The sequence below is a fragment of the Homo sapiens genome, chromosome 1 (genome assembly GCF_000001405.40).
Source record: "Homo sapiens chromosome 1, GRCh38.p14 Primary Assembly".
NCBI lineage: Eukaryota > Metazoa > Chordata > Mammalia > Primates > Hominidae > Homo > Homo sapiens.
Genome location: NC_000001.11, coordinates 183635889 through 183660899, shown reverse-complemented (window position 1 = coordinate 183660899; position 25011 = coordinate 183635889). Strand labels below are relative to the sequence as shown.

Below are 25011 nucleotides of genomic sequence, written 5' to 3'. Positions count from 1 at the left end.
TCTTATTCCTGAGTTCTAGTTTGATTGCACTGTGGTCTGAGAGACAGTTTGTTATAATTTCTGATCTTTTACATTTGCTGAGGAGAGCTTACTTCCAACTATGTGGTCAATTTTGGAATAGGTGTGGTGTGGTGCTGAAAAAAATGTATATTCTGTTGATTTGGGGTGGAGAGTTCTGTAGATGTCTATTAGGTCTGCTTGGTGCAGAGCTGAGTTCAATTCCTGGGTATCCTTGTTAACTTTCTGTCTCGTTGATCTGTCTAATGCTGACAGTGGGGTGTTAAAGTCTCCCATTATTATTGTGTGGGAGTCTAAGTCTCTTTGTAGGTCTCTCAGGACTTGCTTTATGAATCTGGGTGGTCCTGTATTGGGTGTATATATATTTAGGATAGTTAGCTCTTCTTGTTGCATTGATCCCTTTACCATTATGTAATGGCCTTCTTTGTCTCTTTTGATCTTTGTTGGTTTAAAGTCTGTTTTATCAGAGACTAGGATTGCAACCTCTGCCTTTTTGTGTTTTGCATTTGCTTGGTAGATCTTTCTCCATCCCTTTATTTTGAGCCTCTGTGTGTCTCTGCACGTGAGATGGGTTTCCTGAATACAGCACACTGATGGGTCTTGACTCTTTATCCAATTTGCCAGTCTGTGTCTTTTAATTGGAGCATTTAGTCCATTTACATTTAAAATTAATATTGTTATGGGTGAATTTGATCCTGTCATTATGATGTTAGCTGGTTATTTTGCTTGTTAGTTGATGCAGTTTCTTCCTAGCCTCGATGGTCTTTACAATTTGGCATGATTTTGCAGTGGCTAGTACCGGGTGTTCCTTTCCATGTTTAGTGCTTCCTTCAGGAGCTCTTTTAGGGCAGGCCTGGTGGTGACAAAATCTCTCAGCATTTGCTTGTCTGTAAAGTATTTTATTTCTCCTTCACTTATGAAGCTTAGTTTGGCTGGATATGAAGTTCTGGGTTGAAAATTCTTTTCTTTAAGAATGTTGAATATTGGCCCCCACTCTCTTCCGGCTTCTAGAGTTTCTGCCGAGAGATCCACTGTTAGTCTGATGGGCTTCCCTTTGTGGGTAACCCGACCTTTCTCTCTGGCTGCCCTTAACATTTTTTCCTTCATTTCAACTTTGGTGAATCTGACAATTATGTGTCTTGGAGTTGCTCTTCTCGAGGAGTATCTTTGTGGTGTTCTCTGTATTTCCTGAATCTGAATGTTGGCCTGCCTTGCTAGATTGGGGAAGTTCTCCTGGATAATACCCTGCAGAGTGTTTTCCAACTTGGTTCCATTCTCCCCGTCACTTTCAGGTACACCAATCAGACGTAGATTTGGTCTTTTCACATAGTCCCATATTTCTTGGAGGCTTTGTTCGTTTCTTTTTATTCTTTTTTCTCTAAACTTCCCTTCTCGCTTCATTTCATTCATCTCATCTTCCATCACTGATACCCTTTCTTTCAGTTGATCACATCGGCTCCTGAGGCTTCTGCATTCTTCCCATAGTTCTCGAGCCTTGGCTTTCAGCTCCATCAGCTCCTTTAAGCACTTCTCTGTATTGGTTATTCTAGTTATACATTAGTCTAAATTTTTTTCAAAGTTTTCAACTTCTTTGCCTTTGGTTTGAATTTCCTCCTGTAGCTCGGAGTAGTTTGATCGTCTGAAGCCTTCTTCTCTCAATTCGTCAAAGTCATTCTCCGTCCAGCTTTGTTCCATTGCCGGTGAGGAGCTGTATTCCTTTGGAGGAGGAGAGGCGCTCTGCTTTTTAGAGTTTCCAGTTTTTCTGCTCTGTTTTTTCCCCATCTTTGTGGTTTTATCTACTTTTGGTCTTTGATGATGGTGATGTACAGATGGGTTTTTGGTGTGGATGTCCTTTCTGTTTGTTAGTTTTCCTTCTAACAGACAGGACCCTCAGCTGCAGGTCTGTTGGAGTTTGCTAGAGGTCCACTCCAGACCCTGTTTGCCTGGGTACCAGCAGCGGTGGCTGCAGAACAGCAGATTTTCGTGAACCGTGAATGCTGCTGATTGTTCCTCTGGAAGTTTTGTCTCAGAGGAGTACCCGGCCCTGTGAGGTGTCAGTCTGCCCCTACTGGGGGGTGCCTCCCAGTTAGGCTACTCGGGGGTCAGGGGTCAGGGACCCACTTGAGGAGGCAGTCTGCCCGTTCTCAGATCTCCAGCTGTGTGCTGGGAGAACCACTGCTCTCTTCAAAGCTGTCAGACAGGGACACTTAAGTCTGCAGAGGTTACTGCTGTCTTTTTGTTTGTCTGTGCCCTGCCCCCAGAGGTGGAGCCTACAGAGGCAGGCAGGCCTCCTTGAGCTGTGGTGGGCTCCACCCAGTTCCAGCTTCCAGGCTGCTTTGTTTACCTAAGCAAGCCTGGGCAATGGCGGGCACCCCTCCCCCAGCCTCGCTGCCACCTTGCGGTTTGATCTCAGACTGCTGTGCTAGCAATCAGCGAGACTCCGTGGGCGTAGGACCCTCCGAGCCAGGTGCGGGACATAATCTCCTGGTGCGCCGTTTTTTAAGCCTGTTGGAAAAGTGCTGTATTGGGGTGGGAGTGACCTGATTTTCCAGGTGCCCTCTGTCAGCCCTTTCTTTGACTAGGAAAGGGAACTCCCTGACCCCTTGCGCTTCCCGAGTGAGGCAATGCCTCGCCCTGCTTCGGCTGGCGCATGGTGCACTGCACCCACTGTCCTGCGCCCACTGTCTGGCACTCCCTAGTGAGATGAACCCAGTACCTCAGATGGAAATGCAGAAATCAGCCATCTTCTGCGTCGCTCACGCTGGGAGCTGTAGACTGGAGCTGTTCCTATTCGGCCATCTCGGCTCCACCCCCGAAAAATTCCCGTTTATAAAAAGAATAAAATACTTAGGAATAAATGTAAGCAATGAGTTGAAAGATCTAATCTCACACCAGTTAGAATGGCAATCATTAAAAAGTCAGGAAACAACAGGTGCTGGAGAGGATGTGGAGAAATTGAAACACTTTTACACTGTTGGTGGGACTGTGAACTAGTTCAACGATTGTGGAAGTCAGTGTGGCGATTCCTCAGGGATCTAGAACTAGAAATACCATTTGACCCAGCCATCCCATTACTGGGTATATACCCAAAGGACTATAAATCATGCTGCTATAAAGACACATGCACACGTATGTTTATTGCGGCACTATTCACAATAGCAAAGACTTGGAACCAACCCAAATGTCCAACAACGATAGACTGGATTAAGAAAATGTGGCACATATACACCATGGAATACTATGCAGCCATAAAAAATGATGAGTTCATGTCCTTTGTAGGGACATGGATGAAACTGGAAACCATCATTCTCAGCAAACTATCGCAAGGACAAAAAACCAAACACTGCATGTTCTCACTCATAGGTGGGAATTGAACAATGAGAACACATGGACACAGGAAGGGGAACATCACACACTGGGGACTGTTGTGGGGTGGAGGGAGCGGGGAGGGATAGCATTAGGAGATATACCTAATGCTAAATGACAAGTTAATGGGTGCAGCACACCAACATGGCACATGTATACATATGTAACAAACCTGCACGTTGTGCACATGTACCCTAAAACTTAAAGTATAATAATAAAATTTTTTAAAAAAGAAAGATTTATACACTGAAAACTGTAAAACATTGATTAGAAAAACTGAACAAGACAAAGAAATGGAAAGATGTCTCAAGATGTCTCATATTCATGGACTGGAAGAATTAATATTGTTAAAATGTCCATATGACCTAAAGTGCTATACAGATTTAACAGAATCCCTTATCAAAATTCCAAGGACATTTTTCACAGAAATAAAAAAAATTCTAAAATTCATATGGAACTACAAAAGACCCCAATAAGCAAAGCAATCTTTTTTTTTTTTTTTTTGAGTCGATTTTGTGAACTTAGTTGAGTCTGCCTAAGTTCACTAATTTCATTTTGTGGGGAAAGAATGTAAAGCAAACATTGGGTAGTTTGGCTAGAGCATAATAATTAGATTTTCTGGTTTTCAAAAACCTTAAAAAGAAAGTTTGATGTGCTATTTTCACAATTAGTTTAACTAATTACCAAAAAATAGGTTTATGTTCTGTATGTCTTTTTTGTTCTTCTTTGTATAATATCATTTTTATTAACTTTTACAAAAGTATTAGTGTATGATGTGTTAAAACATTAGACAAATTAAATTTAACAGAGTTTAACTGAGCAAGGAACGACTGGCAAATTGGGCAGCTCCCCAAACCAGAATAGGTTCAAAGCATCTCCAGTGCTGCTGCATGGTCACAGAGGATTTGTGGACAAAAAAGGAAAGCAACATAAGGAAAATGGAAGTGAGGTACAGAAACAGCTGGATTTGTTACAGCTTGGCATTTCCCTGATTTGAACACAGTTTGAACAGTTGGCTGCCTTTGGCCAAAACTTGGTGATTGGTACAAGAGTAGGTTACAGTCTATTTACATTCCAGTTAGGTTACAATTCGCTGAGTACGAAGAAACCTTTAGGCTGAACTTAAAATATGTAAGGAGGCAGCTTTAGGCTAAACTTAATTTAACAATTCCCCACCTTTTGGTCAACCTCTCAATTTTGACACTGACCAAAACTTTAGGCATTGAGGTCACTCTGTTACCATCATAAATGTACTTATTTGGTCTCAGATCCCACGGGGAAAGAGCAGAACAGTTGGTTTTTAAGGTGGGAACATGGATTTCAGGTTACTTTTTTGTAAGAGTTAGAGAGCCAAGGGGACTTCCTTGTGCCGGAATCTCCTGTTTTCATGAGAAAAAAAAAAGAAAAGAAAAGAAAAAAAACTTGGTCTGCTTTGGGATCTATCTGTTTCCTTAAAATTTTAGTTTATGTCACATTTAGCATGAGTGACTCCATTTTGGTTTGGTCTGGTCGGCTGGGGCCTAGTGTACAAGCTTAGCCCAAAACAATGGCCTCCCATCACTGTTTAACATATGGTTTGGAAATGTCAATTGGTCCTTTCCCACAGAGAGTTGGAAGCCTTCTTTAGAGCATCTAAACAGTCTCTGGAAGTAAAGATGCTGCCTTTACCCTATACTTTTCCTCAGCTTAAGTTTTAGGAGTCATTTTTAATTCTAAACATTTGCTGCTGTTTCCCCTAGGATAATGAGGAAAATCAACATGGAGGAATTCTAAGAGAAAGTCTGTGGTGTTAGCAAATTAAGGGTGGCCCTACAGAAAGCTCTCTGCTGTTAAGACTGTGCTGCCACCTTGTGGCCATCTTGTTTATAACCCCCCGAGCTCGAAGATCCACCCTCTGCTTTTTCGTCTCCTTTTGGTCTCAACTCCAGTGCTTTTCTTATCTCATCTTTCCCATCTAACTCCTTAGTGAGCTCCATGAAATCTACTTAATCTTCTGATCTTTACTTGAAGCTTGCTTTCTAAATTCAGTTCCTTTTATCACGTAGTTTGTTACTGCTACATGAATTTGAGCATTGTTGTTCAGTGTCAACCAAACTGCTACTAAAGTGATGAATTATATAATTACTTGGGTACAGTAGGTTCAAATAAAACTTTAACATTTTAGCAATAACTTATAAATATTTTACTTCCTGCCACCCAAAGAGAAAGTTGCCTTATAAGCAGTAACTAGCAACACACAAGCCATCTTGGATATACCCCAAACTGGGTTGTCAGAACATAGATTAATAATTTTTGGAGTGCCAAACTGAGTAAATGTCTCTTAAAAATTTAGATCATTGCAGGATAGTTTAGTCTTTGTAAATCTTCTTCATTATAATCTCATAATATCTCTACATAAATAATATACATCATAACTCATCTGAATGAAGATGAAACATGGCAGATTAACAAAGGAAGACAGAAAAGAGAAGAAAGGAGTCTGTTGGGGAAGCTAGACATTTCTTCCAAGCATCTCCTTTCCAATACATGTCAATTTCACTGTGAACAGGAACCATGGTAAAGGCCTTTCATTTCCTCCTGATGAAGTTTAGTCTTAAAAGTCATTCTGTGCAACCTAAATGGAATGTTGCCAACTTAACATTCCTTGGAGTCTTCCTACATCTAACAGACAACTACCTTTAAAGAATAATGACTAATTGGGGTTGCCTATCCCTAAAATCACCCTAAAATGCAATTGATAAATGTGCTAGTGGACAAAGGCTCATTTTTCCTGTTTCTTTAGGCTTAACCTTCCATAGGTATATCATTTGCTGAGCATCTAATCCACCATGGAAGGTGCACAGTGCACATGGGATGCTGGTGCAGATTTGGGGACTATATTTTTTGTCTTTTCCTCCCCTCACTGGAACCTGTCAGACAGCTAATACTTTCTTACAGAACTGAGCAGGCCCTCAGAACTTGATTCTTCAGCTAGCGGGAGAAAAACCCCAACATGTTCTCTTCAACAGTCAGCTATTATCCTTTCACCCAGCTTTTGATAAGTAATATTTTTAAAGTAATGTTTGCAATAGATTGTCATTTATTAGGATTAAATAAAAGATGAGCTATGAGGATTGACTTTCAGTTCCATATTTACAAGTTCATTCAGTTAGAAGATGCAAGCAATGAGAAAAAAGGGATGACCCATGGCAAACTGTGGGGAAGGGACAGGATGCAGCAGTGACCATGTGCCAGAGCAAGCACCAAGGAAGATGAAACTGAAAATAACCAGCTGAGGAGTTCATGAATACACCTGAGGCCCTTAGGAGACAAAAACATCTCGTCTAGTAGGAGCACTCTGGATGAGAAAGGATGTGTGCTGTGGTGCAGACTGGAAGTCTGACAGTGGAAACAGGCGTGGCGAAGCTTCGAGAAGACAGAAGGTGCCCTCTGGGTGCTCAGTATCCCTGAGTTATTTTTAGAGTATGTCTGCTTACAGCCAATAGTTATTACTGGAATGTACACAATAGCAATCCCCACTCACTCCTTCAGGTGGCCTGGGAAAGGGGAATGAGGGAATAATCCAGAGTGATTGACAGTGAATTGTGACTATCAATGTGCCTTGTGTCTAGGAGATGATGTGGGGGTCAAGGGAGACTAAGGAAAAGAATGGAGAAGGACAAGTGGCTCTTCCGTTAGCCACAGAGAAGGGGCTACAACCGATCCTGGAACAAATCTTGTCTTAAACTGGAGGGAACCACATACATACCAATAGCAAGAGTCTTCCAGGCAATTTCTAAGAGGAGGGAAACCGCTAACACATAGCCTAGGTTTAGACAGAATCAAAAACACCCCCTTCAGGGACTATGGGCCTCTTGGAGGAAGTCAACTCTCTGCTCCCTCTCACAGAGGGCAAGCCTCCCAAGGAGAAGCCCTGGCACCCACGCAGGCAACAGAACCGCCAGGCCTGGCACCTACTCTAGACCAGGAGAAAGGTGCTGAGGAGCAGGCCCTCAGAACTTGATTCTTCAGCTAGCAGGAGAAAAACTGCAACATGTTCTCTTCAACAGTCAGCTATTATCCTTTTACCCAGACTGGGATATGCAGTCCTGTATATTTTCATCTTTGGAACAGGTGGCTTGATATGCAAATAAAGTAATAAGTGTCAGAGCTGTATCCTAGCAGTAGCTACTTTGCAAACGTTACCATGGCACCCAATCAACAGTGTTCTTAGAGGTAGCCACACCTCAGCAAGGGCTTTCTAACTTGGAACAGCAAAGTTCAAATGAACGAATAGACACAAACTGTGAAAGAGTCCTGAACCCATTACAAGGTGAATCTTTACAGCACAATTGCCTTCTGAAGCTACTTGAAACAGGGCATGGGACTTAAAGGAGAAAAAAAAGGAAATGGACCATCTCTTCTAACACCTGGAATGTGATCCAAGCCTGGAGACAAATTGATGGTAATTATAACTGCTAACATTTGTTTTTAGCTGCTAACAGATTGTGCACAGATTGTGAAGGGCAAACTCCATTCTCCAATTACTCCAGTGCAAACTGTGCTTTAACAGTACTCACTAAATCCTAGTTGAGTGAAATGAGAGCAGATTGTCCTTATGGTGTGGTTCATTTATGTTAAACTATGGAAAGCTGTCCTCCCACGGTCCCAGTCCAGGGGCCACTCACAGCCAGATGCAGAGAGCCCTCCAGCACGCTGGGCTCTACACATCTCTGTTCTTACTGCCAGCAAATCTGCTCTACAGAGTATAACATGTATTTCCCAAGCACAGACAAAGCAAAAGGAAAAGGGCTAGGCAGGAAGTAGGGACACCAGCTGCTGGGGAAACAAGTCTTAAGCAACCTGGCTTGTGAGCCAATCAAGGTTGCTAAGGTAGGTCCTGGGCCTAAACAGGGTACATTTCCACCTGGTTGGGGAGAATAAAATGACAGATACCAAAAGTTAACAAGATAATCTGTGGTCGATAACAAATTGATACAATAAACCATGAATTCTCTAAGAGTTCAAAGAGGGCAACAGTTCTTTCCTGCTTCCTCTTCAGATGAGGGTGATCAAAGAACAAGCCCAGAAAGACTCTGAAAAAGTGAAAACTTCACCAATAGGAAACTATAGTTGGTTGACACTGAAAAGTTGTCAGCAAGAATGAGACTACAGAGCTCCCTCCACTATGTGTTAAAGCCACAGTCCTCTCCATCTCCTTAAAGACAGTAATGATGTATCATTTCTGGCTAAAACAGCCACAGAAGATGGGGGTGCAAAGGAAGGCGTGCTTAGAAAAGCAATAGGGAGTTTCCATTTTGCTACCTTTATCTAAAAACACACAAAGACTTTTGTTTCCCAAAAGGGTAATTATGGGACCATTATATATAGTTAACTCCACATACACATCACCTTAAGAAATAGTAATAAAGACAGAAAAGTGCCTTTTGGTTCTGTTTCCATAACATTTAGCCAAATCAATCTGTAAATTGTCTATGGGTGAGTTGAAATTGTAATCTGAGCAGTAACCTGGATGTCCGGTGTACCACCCATAAGTCGACCACATCAAGGGCACAATATTAAAAAGCATGAAAGTTTGGGCTTGGTTTTGGCAAGTTCTGATGGAGAGATCCATCCAGCCTGATGAAGGCTAAGCAAGGAGGAGGTCCAGAGAGGAAACAATGCTCGGGAGTAAGCAGGAAATGGCGTCAGGTTCCAAGAGATCGTCCACTGCCAAGGGTTAAATCCAGCTCTCTAGAAGGAAAGCTATGACAAGGTCTAGGAAGCCTCAAGGCAGGAATTCAGTTACATCAGGAAAATATAGTACTAAGGAAAAAACAAAGCTAATGTCCAATCCTATGGATTAAGATGACACAGCAGAGGCTAGGAGAAATCTAGAATCTGGTGGGTATGTGGTGCCAGAGTTACTGCAGGATATTAGCCACTAAGATAATGGTGACATGAATAAAGCTACATTCCACCTACAGCTGGATTGAGGCTTTTAACATATTTTCTGCCCAGGATAGGATTAGCATAGGAACTCTGCAGGTTTCAGGCTAGAGATCAAGCTGTATCAAATACAGCAATGAATGAGCTGATGTGGGCTGAGGAAGACAGAAGGTGAACATAGCACTTCCATATGAGAGGCCATAATTTATTTATTAGCACAAGTATTCATACTTGTGATATGATAAGTGAGATTTTGAAAAGTGAAAAATATATTCTGTTGCAATGGTCAGTTTACCTCATTTAAATTTTCTGCCTTATCAGTTTTGTTATCTGACAAAGTTAAATGTAAAAAATGAAACCATAAATACTAGAAGAAAATATGGGGAATACTTAATTATGCTTTGATGAGGAAGGCATTTCTAAATACAATAAGAAAAAAAATCACAGGAGTAGAGACTGGACCACATAAAAATGTAAAATTTGGTGCAATTAAAATAACATTGGCATAATTAAAAGGCTGTATAAACCAGGTAAAATATTAGCAGCAAATGTGGCAGATTTAATATTCTTGATGCATAAAAATGTCTTGCAAACCAATAAGGAAAACTTCACGCAAAAAATAGGTAAAAAATCAAATATATTTCACAGAAGAATAAATACCACAGACCAATAAGCATGTCAAAAAGTGTTCAACTTCACTAGAAATAATAAAGGCACACATTATAGCAACAAAAAAATACCAATGCTCCCTTCTCAAATTGGGATAAACAACATTGTAAGAGAATGTGATAAGATTGGTACACCTTCCTAGGAAGCGATTTGACAATGTTTGACCTAATACTATGATTTCTAGTAATCTATTCTAAAAAAAAAAAAAAATCTGATTCTTTATAATAAATATTATATAATATATGCAATAGATAATTTCTCACAGAAATATTTATCAAAGTGTTATAATAATTAAAAGAGGCAAGAAACTGAATGTTACAGTTACATAATAAAAAACTAATTAGCCATGAATATTGTGTTTTTTGTTTTTCGTTTTGAGACAGAGTCTCGCTCTGTCACCCAGGCTGGAGTGCAGTGGTGGGATGTTGGCTCACTGCAAGCTCTGCCTCCTGGGTTCACGCTATTCTCCTGCCTCAGCCTCCCGAGTAACTGGGACTACAGGCGCATGCCACCACACCTGGCTAATTTTTTACATTTTTAGTAGAGACGGGGTTTCACCATGTTAGCCAGGATTGTCTCCATCTCCTGACCTCATGATCCGCCCACCCTGGCCTCCCAAAGTGCTGGGATTATAGGCGTGAGCCACCACGCCTGGCCGAATATTATTTTTAATAACATGGGAAAATGCTCATGGCACAATATTAAGTGAAAAAGCAGGGTATAAAACATGACTTTGTTTATATTATATGTAACATACACATATAGCAAAAAGACTGGAGGGAATAGACATGTTAATAGTGACGGAAGGCTGGACATGGTGGTTCACACCTGTAATCCCAGCACTTTGGGAGGCCAAGGTAGGAGGATCACTTGAGCCCAGGAGTTCGAGATCAGTGTGGGCAACATAGGGAGACTGTATCCCTCCTAAAAAATAAAAAAATTATCTGGGCATGGTGGTACATACCTGTGGTCTCAGCTATTTGGGAGGCTGAGGCAGGAGGATCACTTGAGCCCGGAAGGTTGGGGCCACAGTGAGCCATGATCATCTCACTGCACTGCAATCTGAGCAACAGAGCAAGACTGTCTCAAAAACAAACAAAATAGGTAGCTCCTAGAGCATTATAGGAACAACGATAACTGAAGGAATATTTTTTAAAGGAAAAAATCATTACTTAAAGATCTCAGCTTTTTGAGTTTAACATCCCAGAAACTACTAATTTGAAATATTCTAAAGAACCATATTTGCTTTCTGTAACAGTAATTTTTCAAAAGTCTTCTAACAAGACCCACTCACGGGAAAGAAAACTCTTACATGTCAATGAATGAGTGTCCACAATCCAAAGAATACTCAAGTGGCACTTTCCTAAGAAGTCTCTATCATTAAGCAAAAGAGATCCCATGATCCTAGTCTCAAAAAAAACCCAAAAACCTCCAAATTATTTCCAGTGATTTTAAGAAAGTTGATGTTAAATGCAAGCACACTGAATAGTTCTGCACAATACATTAGATGTTAACATATTCTGAGAAGAAAGATCATGAACAAAATGCAAAACACTTTTTTGTACTTTTATAATTAGGAATAATCTAGATAACCCTAGGATTTGTACTTTTACTACTAAGAGTTAATATTTACTGAGTCCTTACTATGTGACAAGCACATTAGTGAAGCATTTTATATTCATTCTGTTATTCAATGCTCAAGACAATCTTATCAGGTAAGTACTATTAATATCTTCATTTTACAGACAAGGAATCTGTGGCTCCCAAATGTTAAATAACTTGTCAAAGGCCACCAAGCTGATAATTGGCCAAGCCCAAATTTAAAACCAGACAGTCTGTTTCTAGAACTTGCATTGTTAACTCATTTGCTTTACTGACTTGGAATCTATGAAACAGGTAAAGTTGAAGAACGCCTTTCTCTTCTGTTTCCTCCCCATGCTCTAGGAGTCTCAATAAAGAATAATGAATCCTGAGCTTTTAAATCTATGCATATATCACTATCTTTATTGTGCTACTTCCTTTAAAGAAAGTATGGTTTAATAAATTAATGCACTGTCTTCAGTTTTTCCTGCGCTGGTTTTATATGTAATTTCTCTTCCTTGTTTAGGTTTGCAGCTAGAAGACAGTAAATCTAGCAATGGAGCCCATATATGAGGAGTACCTAGCAAATCATGGAACAATAGTAAAACCATATTACTGGCTAAGCTTCTCTCTCGATTGCTCTAATTGTCCTTACCATATTCGAACAGGTGAAGAAGCAAGAGTTTCCCTCACAGAATTTTGTCAGATTTTTGGATTCCCTTATGGGACAACATTTCCTCAAACAAAACACCTCACATTTTATGAACTAAAAACTTCTTCTGGTAGCCTGGTGCAAAAGGGCCATGCTAGCAGTTGCACTGGGAATTATATCCATCCAGAATCAATGCTCTTTGAAATGAATGGTTATCTTGACTCAGCCATATACAATAATGACAGCATCAGGCATATCATTCTGTATTCCAACAACTCCCCTTGTAATGAAGCTAACCACTGCTGCATCAGCAAAATGTATAATTTCCTGATTACGTATCCAGGCATCACTCTTAGTATTTATTTTTCTCAGCTCTATCATACTGAGATGGACTTTCCTGCCTCAGCATGGAACCGCGAAGCTCTCCGGAGCCTGGCCAGCTTATGGCCGCGGGTTGTTTTGAGTCCAATAAGTGGTGGGATCTGGCATTCTGTTCTCCACAGCTTTATAAGTGGTGTCTCAGGATCACATGTTTTTCAGCCCATTTTAACTGGGAGAGCACTGGCTGACAGGCACAACGCATATGAAATCAATGCCATAACAGGCGTAAAACCTTACTTCACTGATGTTCTTCTCCAGACAAAAAGGAATCCAAACACAAAAGCTCAGGAGGCTTTAGAGAGCTACCCCTTAAACAATGCCTTTCCTGGACAGTTTTTTCAAATGCCGAGTGGACAACTCCAACCCAACCTACCTCCAGACCTCAGGGCTCCTGTTGTTTTTGTGCTAGTGCCTCTCAGGGACTTACCACCAATGCATATGGGCCAAAACCCAAATAAACCCAGGAATATCGTAAGGCACTTAAATATGCCTCAAATGTCATTCCAGGAAACCAAGGACCTTGGAAGGCTTCCCACTGGAAGGTCAGTGGAGATAGTGGAAATCACAGAACAGTTTGCAAGTAGCAAGGAGGCAGATGAAAAGAAGAAGAAGAAAGGGAAGAAATAAAATCTACATTCCTACAGCATGAAACCAATTACCAAGGGACTTATTAGATAGGCAATAAAAATCTGGAAACTTTCTCTCTCAGGGCTGAGCCAAGATGGAGATAAACTGATGCACTAAAAGCAAACCTTGAATTATTTACCATATCAACTATTATAAAGTTACACTATTTTAAACATAATCCAAAATGTTTCCATAAGCAACTTGATCTCTCTCCTTTATTTTGAAAGTGGCAGTATCAAAATGGAACCATTAGCAGCTTGCTAATATTTTGATGCAGAAAAGGAATCTCATTATTCTATTTTACTCACATCATCTTTCCACTACAAAAGCCCATGGACAAAATAGCTACCTAAATTTGTTTCGGTAAAAAATTTACTGTAAAATTGAAAAACAGCCTGAAGCTACTGACATTAAGTGCTGTTTGCAGGAGCAAACCAGTGATTTTCTATTAATTGTTAATCATGGACAGAAGATTTTAGGCAGCTCATTTTTTTCTAAAGTGATTCAAAATAGTTTTGTGTGGGAAAAAGCTCTTCTGCTGATTACATATAGCTATAAAGATTAAAACCTAGCCACCTGCTCAGTTTGATCTTCCCCAGCTCAGACCTCTCCCTTCTGAGCAGATGATAGAGGTAAGATGATACATGAGAACCTCCAATGGCTCCTGTCATCACATACTGTATAAAATCCAAGTTCCTCTTACTGGCTTTCAAGGATCCTCCTTTAACTTCCTGTTGCCTTGTCTCATCAGCAAGATCATAAGTACCTACAGGTCAAGCACTGTCTCTCCCTTCTCTTTAGCTTTTCCCTTAGGATCTAGCACATTACCCAGCAAAATGTGAGTAGCAAGGCTGAAATGACATCTCAATAACTTCACCAATGATTGTAACTCAGCATCCCTTCTCCATCCCAGCTGAAAGCCTGCTTCACCATCCTGCAAGAGATGTTTTTTCTTTTTGTTAGCATCCATTCCCCTTTCTAATGCAGCTCCCAATGCATAATGTGTGTTTTACTTCCCTCTTTCTGACTCCATCCTCGTCACCAGTGAATATTTGTACCTTCTCTTAAAATCTTCAAAACACACTTCTAGGAAGTGCTCCTTGATTAATCCTCTAAGCACTTAAATGAAAGCACTTTGCTTATGCTTATTTCACATTTGCTGCCACTTGCCTCTTTGAAATATGTAAAGATACATTACAAGAAAAATGTACATTTTCTCGTAACTTGCTATTAATTTTTTTCTTTATATATATATATAAAGTAATCCTAAGCTAATAAAAGAGTTTGCCATGACATTAAAACATTTAATACTCCATAAGGGAGGAGGAGAAAGAAAAACATATTTTAGGAATAGCAATTAGTATTGTGGTTAAAATAAACATGAATAAAAATTTTAAAACAAAGTTTTATTGTTAGCATACAAATTTTAATGGAATTACTGGAATATAGTTTTATTCTGGGTATATAGTGAGTATTATTTAAAGAAGTACTGTTGAGGTTTATTTTTATTTCATGAAATCCTATGTCCACAATTTGGGATACTGAGTTAAAAAGATCCCAACATGACAAATCCAGCATCTCTGATCATTATTAAAATAGATCCAATTTGTTGCCAGAAAATGGCAGACTACAACATGAACCAGGCTACAGAGAATCCAATTAGAAACATGGTCTGAAATAGATGATGAACTGAACCTGGATATCAGTGGTATATAACAAAAGGAGAAGTTGTCAGAACTATAGGAAAGAAAGTGCCTTTGGCAGTTAAACTTTTGTACTGGTTCGATAAGACTAGGGCTACAAAGAAGATTACTCACAGGTCGTAAGTCCAGGCCAACCTTAGACAAAAGACTGTTAGAAGAGCATAAAGATATACTGTCCAAGGCAAGTAATCTGTTTCCTCATCTGTAAAACAAGAAATGTGGGCTAGTTCATCTTTAAGGTTCCTTTCAGCTCCGTCTGCTATAAGAAGGCATATAGCAAAGCAATAGTTCCACAAAGTGAGATCCTGCAGTGCAGTGATTAGCTTTCCTTGCTCACTACGCAGTGATTCTTGGTCATATCAGGCTGGCCGGGGATTGAGAGAGAGAAATTGGGTTGCTCCACCCCTCTTCAGCCAACTGGCAATGGTGATATGGAAGAATATCTCTGCCACCACACATATAGAACTAATGGAAATAAAGAAAATAGAAGTAAATTAAGGTAGCTAGTAATATGATGATCTGGAAAAGGCACTGGGATATATCCCAAGAAAACAATGAGACTGAAGAGACGGACACATTATCTTGGTGAATCTACCAAGGTCCAGGGTTTGGGGGTCTTAGCTTTATATGCTCAACTACCTACTTAGTAAGTACAGGGAGAATGGATTTACTCATCAGAAGCAGGTTTGGATTAACAAACCTCTTGAGATTGACATGTAAAGACAAAAAACTAATGTACTGATTTCTAGTAAGACTTATAACTGGATATGCAAGCATATATTCAAGTCATCCAGGTTACATAGCCTCTCCATGTAGATAAGCTACATAGCAAGCCAAATTATCATAAGGTTGCCTTATGGATTAGAGGAGTCCATTATGTGACTCAAATGTTTAGTGCTATCAGATTCTGCTTTAGTAGTGGTGACTGACATCTGCTTAGAATGAAGTGGTGGATGGGGTATGCACAAAGGCATCTCATTCCTGGACAATGTTTGGGAGGGTCTAGGCAACAAGAGACAACACAAACCTCTATGACCAGCTCCTGTCATAGCATCGATTTTCTATGTGACTAGAAATCCGTTTTCTATGTTTCATCAAGCTACAATCCAATTTATATAATACTAAATAGATTAGAATTCATCAAGCTATAATCTAATCCTGCTGATCGGACAGCAAATCCTATTTCTTTAAACTGCCGTTACATCTTTTTTATTCATAGTATAAGCAATCCAAAAAGTTTAACTCACAGAATGGAATCTTACTCTTCGTATTGGTTTTTAAGGAAAGCCACATAAATAAATTTAAAAATTAAAAAAATAAAATAAAATAAATTTTAAAAGGAAAGCCACATCATAACCTATGCTAATTTAAAATAATATTATTCGGCCAGGCGTGGTGGCTACTGCCTGTAATCTCAGTACTTTGGTAGGCTGAGGCAGGAGGACTGCTTCAGCCCAGGAAGTAGAGGCTGCAGCGAGCCATGATCACACCACTACACTCCAGCCTGGGCAACATAGCAAGACCCTGTTTCTAAAAAATAATATTATCATTATTACTAACATTGAGTGAGAGCTATATGTCAAGTATTTTTCTAAGCACTTACATGTATTAATTCATTTAATCCTCCCAATAATCCTATGAGGTAGATATTATTATAATAACTACTTTACATATAAGGAAATTGTGGCACAGATAATTTAAGTAACTGCCCAAGTAGTAAAAAAAGGCTGAGCTGAGCGTTAAACCCAAGAAGTCAAGCTCCAGAATCCATGTTCTTAATCATTATGCCTTAATGCTTCTCTAAATAATAACAATGCAGATTCACTACAAAGTCTGAAAGAATCCATATTTATTTAGGACCTGTCCTGTAGCTTTTCTGTCATTCTGCTCAAACCACAGTACCAATGGGCATCCTCTAAACTATGGAAGCCAGGTAGGCAGGGTGGGCTAGGGTGGAAAACTTTAGTAGGTTCTAGATCCCAGAACTTTGGCCCTCCCCCACTCCCCTGTCGCCCAGGACCTCATGCCAAACATAAATCCCAAGATTATCTTATCTTAGGTGTCCCTGACTTTCAGGGATGTACTAAATCTGGGACCCAAGGCAATAGAACATTGTTTTATTGCATTGTTTAGTTAAAATTAAGTGCAAATCGTTCCTCAAAAAATTAAAGAGAATTAATATATCATCAGGCAATTCCACTTCTGGGTATAAAATCAAGATCTTGGCCAAGCACGGTGGTTCATGCCTGTAATCCTAGCACTTTGGGAGGCTGAGGTGGGAGTATCGTTTTAGCCCAGGAGTTAAAGACCAGCCTGGGCAACATAACAAGACCCTGAATCTATTTAAAAAAGTAAAGTAATTTTTTTTATAAAACAGGACCTCGGGCCGGGCGCGGTGGCTCACGCCTGTAATCCCAGCACTTTGGGAGGCCGAGGTAGGCGGATCACGAGGTCAGGAGATCAAGACCATCCTGGCTAACATGGTGAAACCCCTTCTCTACTAAAAATACAAAAAGTTAGCCAGGCATGGTGGCATGCACCTGTAGTCCCAGCTACTTGGGAGGCTGAGGCAGGAGAATCACTTGAACCCAGGAAGCAGAGGTTGCAGTGAGCCGAGATTGCACCACTGCACTCCAGTCTGGCAACAGAGTGAGACCCCGTCTCAAAATAAATAAATAAATAAATAAATAAATAAATAAATAAATAAATAAAAAAACAGGACCTCAAAGAGATAGTTCTACACCCATGTTTATAGCAGTATTATTCACAATAGCCAAAAGGTAGAACCAAACCAAATGTCCATTGACAGATGAATGGATACCCACAATGTGGTATATACATACAATGGAATATTATTCGGCTTTAAAAAGGAAGGAAATCCATTCACCTGCCACAGCATGGATGAACCCTGAGGACATTATGCCAAGTTAAATAAACCAGTCAAAAATAGGCAAACACCACATGATTCCACTTACATGTGGTAAGTAGAAAATGGTGGTTGCCAGGGGCTGGGGAGCAGGGAACAGGGAGTTATTGTTTAATGGGTACAGAGTTAATTTTGTAAGATGAAAAGAGGTCTGGAGATGGATGTTGGTAATAGTTGTACAACAATGTGCTTAGTACTACTTAATTGTACACTTCAAAATGGTTAAGATAGTGACTTTATTATGTCTATTTTATCATAATCTTTTTTAAAAATTGAATTACTAGTTGACACCTACTGGTCTCTCTAAATACAAAAAAAGTGACATCTTTTCTGTTAGACTAAATATTAGAAATCAGGCTCTATGTCTAGTCTCAAAATACAGAGATAAGGTAAGGAAAGTTCACAGAAATATCTAAAAAACAAATATCCTTTAAAAAATCATTACAATAACAAGGTTTTTTTAGGTTCATAATTTACAGCGCATTTCAAGCTGTTATATGGGTTTATTTAGGCCTTTGATACTTGGTTATATACTAATTTTTAGAAAAAAGTAAGTATTATAATTTGGAATAATGAAAAAGATACCGAAAGTAGAGAGTGGTGATTAAATGCACAAACCCCAGAATCTGACATACTCGGTTCCCACATCATTCTGCCACTTGCTGATTGAATATCATTGGCCAAATTATATAACCTCTCTGAGCTTTAGTTTACTCATTCATAAAATGGGAACACTAATTTCTAGGCTATAGAGCTACTCTGGGAATTAAATAATGCAAGTAAAGGGTTTATTTACCAAGTGTCTGACACACAATAAACGTATTAAGTGGTTGCTATTACTAATAAAATATGAACAGGATAAGGACAAACAGTAGGAAATTATAAGGATTGCAGGATCTTTCAAATTTTATCAAACCTATGAGTCTTAGATAGTTGACTTCTTATTTTCTTTAAGAAGTTAAGATATGCTACTAGAATTTGTGATAATCAGGTTGGGGAAGAAAAAGTTGATTTCAATGTTTTGCTTAAAGAGTTAATAGTGGTAATGAGAAAAGAAAAACGTCCATGGTCATGGAAGATACTAAAATAATTATAAGAAAATATTTTGTGCAACTTCTTGCCAATAAATTGGCAATGTAGATGAGATGCATGATTTTCTAAAAACCATAAATTCTAAAATTGATTCAAGAAGAGAAAGACAATCAAACAAATCAATAATCATAGAAGAAAAGAATAATCAAAGATCTACCTCTAAAAGTATCAGCAAGCCCAGGTGGTTTTGCAGCACACTCTAACTTTCAAAAACCAAATAGCATGATAATTTTTCATCATTTAAACTATTGCAGAGCATAGAAAAAAAGGTGGAAATCTAAATTCATTTACAAAGTTAGACTAACACTAATATCAAAACTGGATAAAGATAGCACAAATAAATAAAACTATGGACCAATCTTACTTAAAAACTGAAATTATGGCCAGGTATGGTGGGGGGGGCTCATGCCTGTAATCTCATCATGTGGGAGACCAAGGAGGGAGAATCGCTTGAGGCCAGGAGTTGAAGACCAGCCTGGGCAACATAGGGAGACACTGTATCTACAAAACAAAGTTTGTAAAGGCAGCACACAGTGCCTCACACCTATAATCCTAGCACTGTGAGAGGCCGAGGCTGGCAGATTGCTTGTGCTCAGGAGTTCAAGACCAGCCTGGGCAATAGAGCAAAACCCCATCTCTACAAAAAATACAAAAATTAGCTAGGGGTAGTGGCGTACTCCTGTGGTCTCAGCTACTTGGTAGGCTGAGGTGGGAGGATGGCTTGAGCCTGGGAGGTCGAGGCTGCAGTAAGCCAAGATCATACCACTGCCCTCCAGCCTAGGCAACAGAGTGAGATCTTGTGGCAATTATTTAAAAAAAATTCTGAAACCATATAAACAAAATATAAACTAATCAAATCCAGCAAGTAATTAAAATGGTAATATTTCACAACCAAATAGAGTTTATTCTAGAAATGTGGGAATGTTTCAGTGTAGAAAAATATATATATTCACTACACTCATAAATTCAAAGATAGAAACTATATGATTTTTATCATTAGATCCCCATAAAAGGCATTTGATAATTTTAGCAGTCATTTCTAAAAGTCATAAAGCGAAAGTCAATATAATGTCAACTGGTGAAATACCAACGAAATTGAAATAGGAACAAAGCAGAAGAGCCCAGCACTCAATTTTTCAACACTCTTTTCACAATTCTAGCAAACACAAGATAAAATAGGTGACAGAAATATTAGAAAAGAAGATGTAAATTATCATTACCTCAAATATTATACAGTGTGATAAGAGATGCAACCTTAAAACGACTGTTAGCATTAATAAAAGACACCAGTGCTAAGAAAGAATACAGGATAAATATGTTTTAAAGTCCATAGCTTTCATTTTATATCATCATAAGCCATTAAAAAAATCAAATGAAACAAGTCTCATTCACAATATTTTAAAAATAAGACTTATTCTTTGGCACTAAATCTTTTTCTTGAGGCAAGAGATTTACAATTTTTTTTAATCTTTGAAGTACTAATATATAAATAAAGGTTTATGAAAGTTGCAGATACCAGGATGAAATCACTGTTTGTCAAACACAAACTAGAGCCAGGAGAGCACAAAGGAGTAGGGTTCATGATTGCATGGACGAGATAAAAGACATTTTTGGAAGTCCTGTCTCAAGGACTTTCTAAAATAAGAAATTCTGTAGGACTGCAGCAATTCAGATAAAATGCTCTCAAAACAATACCTGCCCAGTAACAGCATCTCTTCCTCTAAAATGGTGCCAACTCTGACTTTGAGTATCCAAAACCAATGTCTGTTTCCAAGCAGTTTATGTGAACTTCTCCTTTTGCCAAATAAAAGTTTCCCTTTGGCCAGGCACAGTGGCTCACACCTGTAATCCCAGCACTTCGGGAGCCCAAGGCGGGCAGACAAGGTCAGGAGATCAAGACCATCCTGGCCAACATGGTGAAACCCCGTCTCTACTAAAAATATAAAAATTAGCTGGGCATGGTGGTGTGCGCCTGTAATCCCAGCTACTTCGGAGGCTGACGCAGGAGAATGCTTGAACCAGGGAGTCGGAGGTTGCAGTGAGCTGAGATTGTGCCACTGCACTCTAGCCTGGCGACAGAGTGAGACTCTGTCTCAAAAAAAAAAAGAAAAAAAGAAAAACATTTCCCTTTATCCTCCCTTCTTTGATGTATATGTAGCTTGCCACAGCTGTGCATCTCAGGTTATAATCCTCTTTTCTAATTCCCAAATAAATTCAACGTATTTAGAGATTTTTTTCCCTGATTTTTTTTTTTTTGGCTTACAGGTTTTTAGTTGATAAGTTTCAGTAGAGAGTTCACCCTATCTATTCCACTTTAATGTGTAATCATAAAATTATGTAAAGGAAAAACTTGAAACAAAGAAAAAATGAAATTCTGAAGGTTCATGTTTTAAAGTTTAACACAGAACCAGTTGATGTAGATATTCATAGGAGTATTAAATCATAAGATAGTCTATGGACAACATGCTAAACATCTTTTTATATTTCAGTAATTATGTTGCCAGAGAACCCTGGTATTAAAGCATCCTTACCAGAACTGAAATTCACTTATTTATATTTATAATACATTTTACATATTTGATTAACATTGATTTTGCACTTCTATTTCAAATAATAAAAATAAATAATGTCACGTTGCAGGATTCAACGTCTTTTTTCTTTTTTTTTTTTTTTTGAGATGAAGTGTCTTGCTCTGTCAACCAGGCTGGAGTGCAATGGCACGATCTCAGCTCACTGCCATCTCCGCCTCCTAGGTTCAAGCAATTCTCCCACCTCACCCTCCCAAGTAACTGGGACTACAGGTGTGCACCACCACCCCCAGCTAATTTTTTGTATTTTTAGTAGAGACAGGGTTTCCCCATGTTGGCTAGGCTGGTCTTGAACTCCTCACCTCAAGTGATCTGCCCGTCTTGGCTTCCCAAAGTGCTGGGATTACAGGCATGAGCCACCACGCCCAGCCAGGATTCAATGTCTTTGTTGTTTAAGTATTTAGTGGCAAGTTTGGAGAAGAGAAGCACATGTTAGAATCCTTGGTTTAAAATGTCTGAAAAGAAAGACCTATTATAGCCTTACTAAAGTCCCTTCTAACTGAAAAGATCCTTGGCTGTTTGCATCATCACAGAAAATAAGGAACTACATATACAGCATTAACCTTGAGAAAATTCAGATTCGGTCCTGCTTCAGTATTGAACCAAACCAGGTTATTTGCACAACAAGTAAAATGTCTTAAAACCTTATAAATCTTTTATATCAGGGTAAGCACTCATTTGAAAAATTAAAATAAGGAAAATAATATTACCTAAGATGAATTAAGTATCATGATTAACATTAAAAATTTAGAATTTGCAAGGAAGTGAAATAATGAGTTTTCTAATTAAAAGATAATTAAAGACAGATTTCTCCACATACACACAAAAATTTCTCTTAAAGCTTTATAAAGATTTAACTACCTAATAAGGTAGAGAAGTAATTTATGTGCCCACTAAAAAATACTCAATTTCTGAATGTTCGTCCAAAATTAACTTGTCAGATCATTAAATCATTGACTAGAAACACGTTGAGTACCTATTATGTACTAGGCACTTAGATCATTGTGAGACAATAAAAAATACTGCATTAGAAAAGGACATTTTTCACATCTTAAATGCAATAAGCATTATTTGGCTGGCAGTTAATTACATTTAACACATTAAACATATAGAGCAAAATTCTGAGCAATCAAAATAATTATACCCTTGAGCAATCGATTATTTAAATTTCTTTCACTATTCCCTTAAGCTGATTTCTACTCTGGGATTCTTTCATAGTTCTCAAATAAGAAAATAAAAAATTTCCTAAATAAGGCAATACAAAAGAATAGAAATGTAAGAGAAGAGATATATTAGCTCTTGAATCCCTGTTTCCATTTGCTGTCAATAGTGCCTCTAATGTTCGATTTTCTCTTCAAAGAAAAATCTTGATTTAAAAGAAGAAAAAGTACAATCACCTTTAACAGCTAAAGTATACTGATTAGCATCTACTAAAGTTAGCAAAGACTGAAACTGAAAAAAAATTGTAAAATCTTTATTCTAAGTTATATAACGCCATTCACCATAGTAATGATTTTATACTTTGGTATATGGCTTTTTAAAATAAATATTGCCAACAGGTAAAAATTTTTCCTTTGCTGTCTTAAGGCATTCCTAAGAGAATTTTTACCAGTGTGTGTTCATAACTTGAATGTTAATTTAAACAATGTTACTTCTATCACCTAAATGATATACTTATAGAAGAGTGGTTTAATTGGGAACAGAAAAACACCACATTGCTTCTTCCCAAGAAAAAGGGATGTATTCCATTCTCGAGGTCTCTCTCCCACTCTCTATTTATATATAATATACTGCATAGATAAATATACACACATTATATATGTATTTTTTTGAACTTAAAGAAGACTGGACATATGTATTTACATGTATATATCCAACAAATATTTAATTTTGAGATCTCTCTCCCTCTTCTGATTTATTATTCTCAGTATGATTCTCAAACTGTACGGTCTTTCACATTTCATTCATTCATCAAGCATGTATCGAGTCCCTTCTGCATGCTTAGCTTTTTGTCATATGGAAGGAAGATACAAAAGAAAAACTGTTTCTGCCCTTCAGAATCTTTCCATCTCTTCTAGGAAGGAGATAAAACACCATATATCATTAAGAAATTTATAAGACTAGTCCCAAAACCAATGGTACAAGCAACATGCATTTTACATTTATGTAGAATTTTAGAGCTTGGAAACACTTTCGTGATATATAATCCTAAGAACAATCTTGTAAAGTGCACATTATTAGCTCCATTTCAGTGATGAGGAATCTGAGACAGAATTTTAAGTGACATGTCTCGTTCAAACATTATGAGTGGAAGAGTCAACACTTAAGCCTGAGTTTTCTGATTCTAAGCCTAGTGCTCTTTTCAACACAGCACTGGAAACCAAAGATTGTGGTACACAACAGGGCAACAGCCAGTCTTCTGCTCGAGGTCCAACTAAACTGGACCCATACCGAGCAGTGTCCAGCCAAATGTCCAAATTAATTTTATCCTGCAAATATTTGTTCTTCAGTGTAATACACACAGCACAACTACCATTTCCTTCGTCTTAGTGCCTTTATCTCCTACATTCCAGAAATGGGGATGTCAAATATTTTTTTAAATCTGGCCTAGATGGAATCATATAAATCTCAAATCATAATATAAATCTTAAAGGTCTGGTTTCCACCAATCCTTCCACATTTTGTTTTCCCCCAGCACTAGAGAGCCTAACCTACCCTCACCCCTTTCGAGCATTCTTGCTCCAAACGACCACCTATTTTAAGATGTCAATGACCCTTTCCCAAATTCTACAAATTCACCCCAGTTTTGCCACCCGACCCCAGCGCCTGCCCGGACACGTTCCCCTCCCTCCCAATAGATTTGATACCGAGTTCAGGTTCTGCAGATCCCGTTGCGATGCTGTCACACAGCACTGACAGATAAGATTTGACCTTTCGACTCCGTCCTTGGGGACTTCCCGCTGGCCAAGAAGGGTAGTTCCAATCCCAGGAAACGGGCTTCCTGCTCAGGAACGCAGCCTCTAGCAGCGCACAGTCTGAGGCAATGTCTCCGGCAATTAGAACGATGCTGGGCGCCCGGGTGTGCATCACTCTGCCTCATACTCCTACCAACTGCAGGGCACTCGGTCCGGCAGCCAGTCCATCCCACCCACAGCCAAGTCCCAGCCAGCCGGACCTTACGCAGGACCCCGATGATAGGTCGTTGACGGCTGCAGCAAAAGCCAAGGCCACCTGCCGCTGCTGCCCATCCCCGCCAATCTGAGACCCCCTAGACTGGACCGCAGAAAAGCGTTTCTATGGGAACCCCCCCACCGAGAATCACGTGACGCAATCGGACGACCAATCGCTTCTTACCTCTGCCCGCGGTCCAGCTTTTGGCCCTCCCTCTCGCCCCCGCCTCCTTCGCCCAGCCCCGCCCCTTGCCTGCGGAGAGCCCGCGCCTGCGCGCTGTGTCCTGCGCGCTCCTTCCCTCGCGCGCGC

At 39.3% G+C, this 25011-nt stretch overlaps 2 protein-coding genes across 10 annotated transcripts in view, besides 2 other annotated features; one reads left to right on the top strand and one right to left on the bottom strand.

Annotated features, from left to right (window-relative positions):
- The window catches only part of RGL1 (ral guanine nucleotide dissociation stimulator like 1), a 292424-nt gene extending 267633 nt beyond the window's left edge, over positions 1 to 24791 (bottom strand). For all 9 annotated transcript variants that reach the window (XM_011509339.4, XM_047415682.1, NM_001297669.3 and 6 more), the window contains exon 1: positions 24399 to 24791. The gene's annotated coding sequence lies outside the window, so the exon portion shown is untranslated. The remainder of the gene's footprint in view (positions 1 to 24398) is intronic.
- APOBEC4 (apolipoprotein B mRNA editing enzyme catalytic polypeptide like 4) lies at positions 7584 to 14625 on the top strand. Its single transcript, NM_203454.3, has 2 exons — positions 7584 to 7828; positions 12089 to 14625. The coding sequence occupies exon 2, from the start codon at positions 12119 to 12121 to the stop codon at positions 13220 to 13222; it is 1104 nt and encodes a 367-aa protein (NP_982279.1). The 5' UTR covers positions 7584 to 7828; positions 12089 to 12118; the 3' UTR covers positions 13223 to 14625.
- Positions 14852 to 15146: a silencer, noted in NCBI's record as "tiled region #5056; HepG2 Repressive non-DNase unmatched - State 23:Low". NCBI's record gives its function as "represses a minimal TATA promoter and a strong SV40 promoter by Sharpr-MPRA in HepG2 cells {active_cell/tissue: HepG2}" and the evidence as "EXISTENCE:reporter gene assay evidence [ECO:0000049][PMID:27701403]".
- Positions 24834 to 24993: a silencer, noted in NCBI's record as "silent region_1635". NCBI's record gives its function as "represses an Ori minimal core promoter by ATAC-STARR-seq in GM12878 lymphoblastoid cells {active_cell/tissue: GM12878}" and the evidence as "EXISTENCE:reporter gene assay evidence [ECO:0000049][PMID:35858748]".

Excerpts from the sequence above, each read along its gene's own strand:
- APOBEC4 (NM_203454.3), top strand. The coding sequence starts at position 12,119 with ATGGAGCCCATATATGAGGAGTACCTAGCAAATCATGGAACAATAGTA.